At 44.0% G+C, this 9,106-nt stretch overlaps 1 long non-coding RNA gene across 1 annotated transcript; it reads left to right on the forward strand.

Annotated features, from left to right (window-relative positions):
- Positions 1–298: 298 nt before the first annotated feature.
- On the forward strand, positions 299–2,179 carry LINC01262 (long intergenic non-protein coding RNA 1262). Its single transcript, NR_121679.1, has 3 exons — positions 299–422; positions 619–827; positions 1,635–2,179. It is a non-coding gene; the product is annotated as a long intergenic non-protein coding RNA 1262 (long non-coding RNA).
- Positions 2,180–9,106: the final 6,927 nt, after the last annotated feature.

The raw sequence follows: 9,106 nt of genomic DNA on the forward strand, positions 1-9,106 counted from the left end.
TGGTGGGCAAAACTAGTCCGTGATTTGCAGTTGTTATCTCACCTGCTACAGATGAAAGTGGTCTCTGGTTACAACACGCAGTTTCAGCCACGGGACTTGCAGACGACAGCATTTCTAGAGTGACGTCATGTACCCTGAGTGCCTTTTACTCAGACCCGTCTTCTCTGATTTAGTTGGGTATGACAAGAATGGCCCAATTTGGATAATCAACTTGCACAATGCTGACTCAAGAACTGTAGCACTGAGTGTAAGGGTGCATCATTTTCATAAACTCAGAGGAAAATGTGGCTGGTGGCTGATGGCAGAGCTGAGTCCCGAGAGCTCAGCCCTGAGCTGCCTTTCATCTGGTCACCGTGTTCAGGGGTTCTTCTCCGTGTAAATAAACATCTGCGATGAAAACCTCCACAGGTCTCATCAGCAAAGTGGGTCTTCAAGAAACCAATTTGCTTTCAAAACAGGAGATCGAGTGATAATCTATCTAATGTTCTAGAAATGTTTGAGGCACCCTAGACAAATGTCAATCTTAAAGTTTTCCTTTTGCCTTATTTCTCTAAGTAACACCTTCTCAAATCATGAAAGAAGAGTGATCTAAATTTTTTTTTTAAAAATCCATATTAGGAGGAAGATCTATTAAGGATCTAGTGAGTAAATGACACTTTTGGAATGTTTAGAACTTCGAGGGGGAAACCACATGTTTTCACATCCCACTATATCATTTCCATAAGGATGAGGCAAAGCACTACCCCTATTTGCAGAAGAGAGACTGCCGTGAAGTCAGTGGACACTATCTCCAGGTCAGAATCCAACCTAAAGGCCTTTAATCAATGGTAAGTGCTCTGAGGCACAAAATCCTATGCTCCTCATCAGTCATGCTATGTCCTCTGAATATTCTGAATTCACCAGAACCTAGTAGACCTATTTTAAGTTTCTCCAAAAATGTCAAAACTCTGTTTTATAGAAAACCAGAACTTTCATGTCAATTGTTCCTGAGAACATTAATAACAAAAGCCAAAACAAGTTTCTTAAACTCTGTCAGCCAGTTTTGTAAATATGACACAAGTAAATACTTCTGGACATCATTTAGGTATTAACGTAACATGCATAAGCTAGAAAAGGCAGCATTAAATTTGGATGTTTTTGACTTTTGTTTCTCAACTTTTTAAAGATTAAATCATAGGATCTTATTCTCTTCTATTCCCTCTAGGGAAAGCAATGTGCTGATATTTTTCTGAAAGATGCTAACAGTGGAAGGAACTATTGAAAACAATTAGAGGAAAATCGCACCTTGAACTTAGGAGAACGTGTACACCATGTTCTCACAGGAAATCTCAGACATGATATTAAAAATTCCAGCTGTTTCATTTTTTTGCAGAACAGCGTGTAGTTATGTACTGAGTGCACTGTGCAGGGGCACACAGGGCATACCAAAGGCTTCTTTTGTTTATGATACAGATTTGCACTGTATTCGAAAGGTTTTCTTTCAAATGCCTTATCACAGTGTGTCCAAACTTCTTGTAGGGAGCAACGGGGCCTCTATTTAAGCCTCTTGTGAGCCGATCCACCAGCCAAGGTCATGTTGCTTTCCCTTAAGAATCAGAGCCGCGGGGATCCTGTTCTATCTGTTCTTTCCACAGCCTCCTGTCTTTCAGCAGGGCAGATGCCTCCCAGAAGGAAACCAGATGCCAGGACTGTGGGGGACTCTTGAGCAGCATCAGCCAAACTGTAGGAGCTGAGAAGAGGAAGCTTTGCTCAGGGTAAGCGCCCTGGGATAATGTCTTTAATGTCAAGAGGATGCACGCTGTGAACGTGGAAAGCCCTCCAGGCTGAAAGAGGGAATAACACAGGCGGGGAGTGTTGCCAAGCATTTGCGAGCACTCTGTTCGGTGGACAGACAGCCGGCTTGCTCATGATTCCGCCTTCTCTGTTATTGGCAACAAGCCGTCACTGGAACTTTGTATCCTTAAGCTTTGAGGCCTTGACTCAGGTGGGGGTCCCGGAATAAGCTCATGAAGTTTTTGCCTCGTTACCCCCAGGCTCCAAATCACTGGTACAAATTTCTCAGTCTGATTTAATGCTTAGGGAAATGTCGTATTTTTGGATCCTTCATTTTAAAAAAACATATATATTTACCAGTGCTATCTCCGCCAATTCCGAATAAACCTTAGACTTCAGATCATGAGCCACTAGGAGTCTGAATATGTCCTTTATTTGGATTCAAATAAGATTTTAACTTCCTGGCACCATGGTTTTCTGAAGGTGCCAGTGTGAGACCTGGGTCATCAGAATGACTTGGCGCTGGGAAGCCACAGAATGGTGCAGTAAGATCTTGCTGTCTCGGTTTCCGCCTTAGAAACAATATCATACACCTTTTCTCTTTCACAGAATGCTAAAATTTAGCATATGTTATAGTGTTTATTGACAATAATAAGGCAGGATAGCAAAGTGGTTAAGGAATGACTGCACTCAACAACCATAACCTCCTATGGTGCCAGGGACGGCAGGCAAATGCCATGCATGGAGGTCAGTGTCAGCAGAGATCAGCTGGTGTGCTCAGAACACTGTGGGAACTAAGGGTCTGAGCCATCAGGACTGTCCACAGATATTCCACTCCTTCTGCTCATATAATATGCTTGCATTCCCCATGTTTTACAATTTGAGTTCAGGATTTGTTTAATTCAGGTATGGTAAAGTGATAGACACAGACAGGAACAACTGCCTTTGAAATAAGAGCTTGTTTCTTACAGTTCCTAAGAAAAAGGAGCATTGGCATGCCACACAGGGCTGCCCAGGCAGCGCCAGGATTGGGCAGGAGGCAGGAGTACAGGAAGCACGGATCGAAGCCTCCATGAACACAGAGGGGAGAAGTCACAAAGTAGGGACGGCCCTTATTCTGCAGGAAACAAGTCACAGATTTGTTTGTGGCTGGAGGGTTTGTGATATGACTTTTATGCTACCTCAAAAGTGGGACTGAAGGGTGATGTAGGCACCTTTGGCCATTAGTTTGGCCCTGTGATTAGTGGATGTCAAATCATCAATTACAAGATCTGTAGAAGTTGGTTGGAACACCCCACCTTGTGCAGACAGTCTGTTCATGCAAGTCGGGCAGGAATCATGAGTGGAAGCGGCACGTGTCACCTCCTGCAAAGGACCAGCACAGGGGACACCACACTCCCTTCGCCTGCCACAGTGGCCACGAAAGCACCTCCATCAGCGTGCATTCCCAAGTGACTACCTGGGTGGCCTGACGGGTCTAGAGTCTTTCAAGGGTCTGCTGGCATCTCATCTGCGAACATCCCACTGGCCACAGCAAATCTCATGGTGGGATGGTTAATTGTACGTGTCAACTTGACTGGGCCACAGGGTGCCCAGAAATTTGTTTCAACATTATTCTGGGTCTGTCTGGGAGGGTGACTGCAAATGAGATTAGCATTTACATTGGCAGACTGAGCACAGCAGGTTGTCCCCTCCCCCCCACCCGATGTGGCTGGGCCTCAGCCAGTCAGCTGGAGGCCTGAATGGAGCAAGTCAGAGGGAACTCTTTCTGCTTGGACTGCTGTGAACCTGGGCATTGGGTTTTGTGTTTTGTGTTTCTGCCTGTGGACCTGAACTGAAACATCAGATTTTCCCTTGGAAGCCCACCAGCATTTGGACTAGAATTAGCCCATCAGCTTTCCTAGGTCTGCAGTTTGCAAATGCATATCTATCTTGAGACTTCTGTTTTCATAATCACGTGAGCCAATTTCATATGGTATATATTTATAAAATAGTATTATAGGCCGGGTGCAGTGGCTCACACCTGTAATCCCAGCATTTTGGGAGACCAAGGCAGGCAGATTACAAGGTCAGGAGATTGAGACCATCCTGGCAAACATGGTGAAACCCCGTCTGTACTAAAAATACAAAAATTAACGGGGCATGGTGGCGGGCGCCTGTAGTCGCAGCTACTCGGGAGGCTGAGGCAGGAGAATCACTTGAACCCGGCAGGCGGAGGTTGCCGTGAACAGAGATCATGCCACTGCATGCCAGCCTGGCGACAGAGCAAGACTCTGTCTCAAAAAATAAACAAATAAATAAAAATAATATTATGAACAATATTATTTTATATATATACACACCTATCCTATTGTTTCTGTTTTTCTGGAGAACCTAGACTAATTCACAGGGCTAAGCCCAAAGTCAAACTTGGTGACCTCTATAAAATTACATGGCAAAGGCTGGAGAAAAAGGAAACAGTAAACATTTGGGGTCACATTTGCAATTTACCACAGATGGCAAGAAGATAGAACTGCTTTTCCCGATATCTGGATGTCTGTTTCCAGCCACCCAAATCTTCCTAAAGACGTGGAAATGCTGTGGCCGCTGCAGCAGTGGGCAGAGGAGTGGTCAGGCCGGGAAAAGGAGGTGCTCAGGTCACCTTTCCCATCCCCAGGATGGCTGGTGGCCCCCTGTGCTGTGTGCATTTGAAGGCCTCACCTGCCTCATGGGTCTGAATCTGAGGGAGGCAGCACATAATTAACCACTATTAGGAATTTTAGAATGTATTTTTAGTTCTCTGGAAATGTCTCCCTCATTATTCTTTGTTATTCAACTTTGAAACACATGTGTAGGAATCCACTGTGTGTAGAAGTAAGAAACTGCATATAACCAATGCTTTTCACACCAACAATCTCTCACTCAAACGAATACAAGCCAGGCTCTTAATGTTCTTGTTATAGAAGAATAACTAGGTAAGGTAAATAAAGCTGATATTAAAAATCCAATTTTACATATAAGAAGACATAGAGACGTTAAATGGTTTGCCCTGTGTCTGAAAGCTCATTAATTGCAGAAGTGTTGAAGGATTGCAGGGCTCCTGACTCTTTGGTCAGGATGCATTATGCAGCCACTCACAGAATCATTTTGAGATGGAGAGCCAGAATTCTGGAGAACAGCAGAGTGCTCCTGCAGCATGTCTGTGCAATGAGAGCACAGCAACCCTTCTAGAGAATTTGGTCAGGGATTGGGTCAGGAAATGTTCATGGAGCACCTTCTCCTTTCTCCGTGTCAGGCACTGTGCTATGTTATGGAGACGCAGGGGTGGGCAAAACCAGACCCCATACCTGCCCTTAGCAGTATATTCTGTAAGGGGGCTGGAGGATGTAGACCTGAATCAAATATTTGCATGCACAAATAGAAACATGCAACCCATGTGTACAGTGAGGGGGAGGCCCTTGGTGCTGCGAAGACCCATAATCACAGGCCCCGGGCTGGGCAGAGGGCAGGGAGAGCTTTCCTGGGGAGCAGTGCTTGAAATAGGGTATAAAGAAGGGGTTGGAGTTATTGAGATAAATAGAAGAAACAGTGTTCCAGGTTGAGCCCAGCTGGCTTCACCTAGTGGATCCCGCACCTGGCCGCAGGTGGAGCTGCCTGCCAGTCCTGCGCCATGCGCCTGCACTCCTCAGCCGTTGGATGGTTGATGGGACTGGGCGCTGTGGAGCAGGGTGCAGTGCTCCTCGGGGAGGCTCAGGCCTTGCAGGAGCCCATGGCAGGGGGGAAGCTCAGGCATGGCAGGCTGCAAGTGCCAAGCCCTGCCCCACAGGGAGGCAGCTGAGGCCTGGCGAGAATTGGAGTGCAGCGCCGGTGGGCCAGCACTGCTGGAGGACTCGGTGCACCCTCTGCAGCTGCTGGCCCAGGTGCCAAGCCCCTTACTCTCTGGGGCCAGCGGTGCTGGCCAGTCGCTCCGAGTGCGGGAGTGCGGGGGCCTGCCAAGCCCACGCCCACAGCAGACCCGGTTCCCGCCCGTGCGCAGCAGCCCCTGTTCCCGCTGACGCCTCTCCCTCCACACCTGTCCACAGCAGAGGGAGCTGGCTGTGGCCTCGGCCAGCCCAGAGAGGGGCCCCTACAGTGCAGTGGTGGGCTGAAGGGCTCCTCAAATGCAGCCCGAGTGGGCGCCGAGGCCGAGGAGGCACCAAGAGCCAGCGAGGGCCGCTAGGGCTCCAGCACATTGTCACCTCATGTTTAACACAAATTTTCCTATATGCTCTAAGGCTACAGTTTTGTCTGTTACTCTGGTAATAATACACTTTCAGGCAGTAACTTGAAATAAAATTCAATTTTCATAAAATCTCCGGAAAACTGGAGAAAGAGGGAATTTTATTTCAGTATTGTTGTCCTGTGGATTGGAATATGTTCTAACTCACATCATAATTCTTGAAACATTATAAAATATAAAAGCTTAAACTAATATGTTTAATTGACTCCAAGAGCATTAATGAAAAGTATATAAATAGGAATACAGATGTAGTAATAAAAGAGAATTATCAGTCACCCTTAATTTAATTGGTGTCACCTTAGCTTTTAGAAGGGTAATAGGTAAAGACTGTTGTGCTCAGAACACCAGAAATCTATTCGAACTAGGTGAAAATTTACTAGTGAAGGTATTTGTGAAAATAGAAATGCAGCTTATGTAAAAACTATTCACTTACATCTGCCCACAAATACAGAAACATCTGAATGCTCAGTTTTAACCTATTCCTCAGTAGGTTAAAGTGCTCTGGGCTTACTTGTCTCTTCCTCTTGACTTGGAGAGAAGAGAAGCCTTTGCTTTTACTCAGCATGAAGGAGCCTCAGGATAGTCACATCTCAACTCTTAGATGCCTGAGAGCTTTGTAATGCAAATCAGGCTGCTCCTTTTTTCTTACCAGCAACTTAATTTGGGACAGGATTGATTGACTAGAAAGTTTGCTAATCAGTTTGAAACAAAACTAGGCTGGGGGCCAATGGAAGTTTGCCAGAACCTCCCTTCTGAAGACAAGGTCGACAGCTGGTCTCACTTTGGAAATGCTTTTGCCCATTATCTTATCATTTGGTCCATTTTATGTGGTCCACATCTCAAATTACAATGTTTATTTTGAAGGCACTCCAGAGAAAAGAAAGAGAAAAAAAAGACACCACACATGACTTACAGAACAGATTTTATAATACTTTGAAAATGAGGTACCTCGTTGTAAATTTAAAATCCGCCTCCTGATTGTTTTAGAGTTGATAAGTATATTGACGGTTGTGAATGACTGCTGAGCTCTGGCTTTTGGGTGTAGCCGATGTGACAATGTTTGTTGGTGAAGCAAAGAAAACAAGTTTGATTTGACCATGAGAACATATGAATTCCTGAACTGTTAAAAATAATAACTCTTGTTTGTGTCATTCTCCAAAGTTTTAAAATAAAATTAGATCATTGTGCCCAAACCAAAAAGTTCTGAAGTCATTGAAGTGATGGAATCATAGGATGCACTGCAGGGGCTGAAATTCCAAACCTTGTAGGGACAGGAAGGTAACGTGAATGTATGAATCGGACTAAATGTGGATAGCGGGGAAGAGTGGGTTCTGTGGAAAACTAGAAAGAATATGCTTCTAAGGATGTTCAAATTTGGATTTAGAAAACAAATACCAAGCCTGCAAAACAGGAGACCTGGAATAAATTATCAGCTTTGAAAAAATCAGAGTTTGAAAAAATATATTAATTCTTATTTCAGAGACATCCATGTAATTCAGTGTCTTTCACAAGGCAGACAAAAAGATCTTAGGAGAGAGAGACAAAGGAAAATAGAAACAAAGAAAAGGTGTTAAGTTTCTAAAAAACAGACACTGTGTTGGGCTTTGAACATATAGAATAGCATGAATTCTCACCATGACTACCTGCAGTAGCCAGTATTATTCCCACTTCATGGATGAAAGATTCAATCTTAGAGAGTTTAGGTAACTTGTAACAGTAGAAAAGCAAGAATTTAATTACAAATCCTATGTTCTCTTCTCTATACTAAATGTATGAACTCAAGCAAGTTATTTATCCTCTTTATTCTTCATGTTTTAATGGGCATAATAATGGTTTATTCACTAGAATATTTTAAGAATTAAAGTTAATAATTGTAAAAATTCTCACAGAATTTTTTTTATGTTTGTTGAATATGAAAGTATGATAATTACTTTTGTTGAGCAACTATCAGCATAGCAGATGTTTGAACTGTTTCTGCAGAGGGATTTGGGCAAGACACCTTTTATTCTTATACCTGGGTTTTATTGTGAAGTTATATCCAGTTAAGCTTGTGAGAATTTGGAGTGCAGCCTGCAGTTGTATGATGGCTGAGGAATACAGGAACATTGTGGTTACTGTAAACATGAGAGTAATAACTGCAAACTAAGGAATAACAGTATATTAATCAGGATCCTCCAAAGAAACAGAAGTGTGTGTGTGTGTGTGTGTGTGTGTGTGTGTGTAGAGAGAGATTATTTGTAGGGAATTGGCTGCCACAGTTATAGAGGCTGAGAAGTCCTGTGATCTCTAGTTGGCAAGCTGAAGTCTGGAGACCTTGCAGAGCTGATGGTATAGTTCCAGCCTGTCTGAAGGCCTGAGAACCTGGAGGGCTGATGGTGTGATTTACAGTTCAAAAGCCAGTGCGCTCAAGACCCAGAAGATCTAATGTTTCCATTTGAGTCAGAAGCCAGGAAAAGACTGGTGATGTTCCAGCTCAAGCAGCCGGGCAGAAGGAGTTCCCTTGTTCCACAAGAGGGCCAGACTTTTTGTTTTATTCAGGCCTTCAGTTGGTTGGATAAGATTCACCTACATTAGGAGGACAACTGGCTTTACTCTATCAATTTAAATGTTAGTCTCCTCCTGAAACTCTCACAGCCCTCACAGACATACCAAGAATAATGTTTGGCTTAATATCTGGGCACCCTGTAGCCCAGTCAAGTTGACACATAAAAGTAATCATGACATATGGTAATGTGTAATAGGATAAGCTGTAATGAGTTAGGAAATGGTCTGATGTTAACAAAATAATAAAGAAAGCAAATGTGTTGAATGCCTGTGGGAACTTGTAACGAGATAGTCATGCACATGGTGAAGAAATTTGTTAGCTGAAGAAGTTCAATACACTGGCTCCTCCAAGATAACTTTCCCACAGGAAACTTTGGGAGCTACTCAGGTATTGCATCCTCTGGGAGTAATTAACTGTTCACTAACAGGAGGTTTGCGTGTAACCAGCAACAGCAGGTAAAATTTCAGGTGCTTCTATCAAAGAACTAGAGAGATAGCTCAGCCACTGCTGGATCCTGTGCGAGGATCCCT

Source organism: Homo sapiens, chromosome 4, assembly GCF_000001405.40.
Source record: "Homo sapiens chromosome 4, GRCh38.p14 Primary Assembly".
In the NCBI taxonomy this organism is placed as follows: Eukaryota; Metazoa; Chordata; class Mammalia; order Primates; family Hominidae; genus Homo; species Homo sapiens.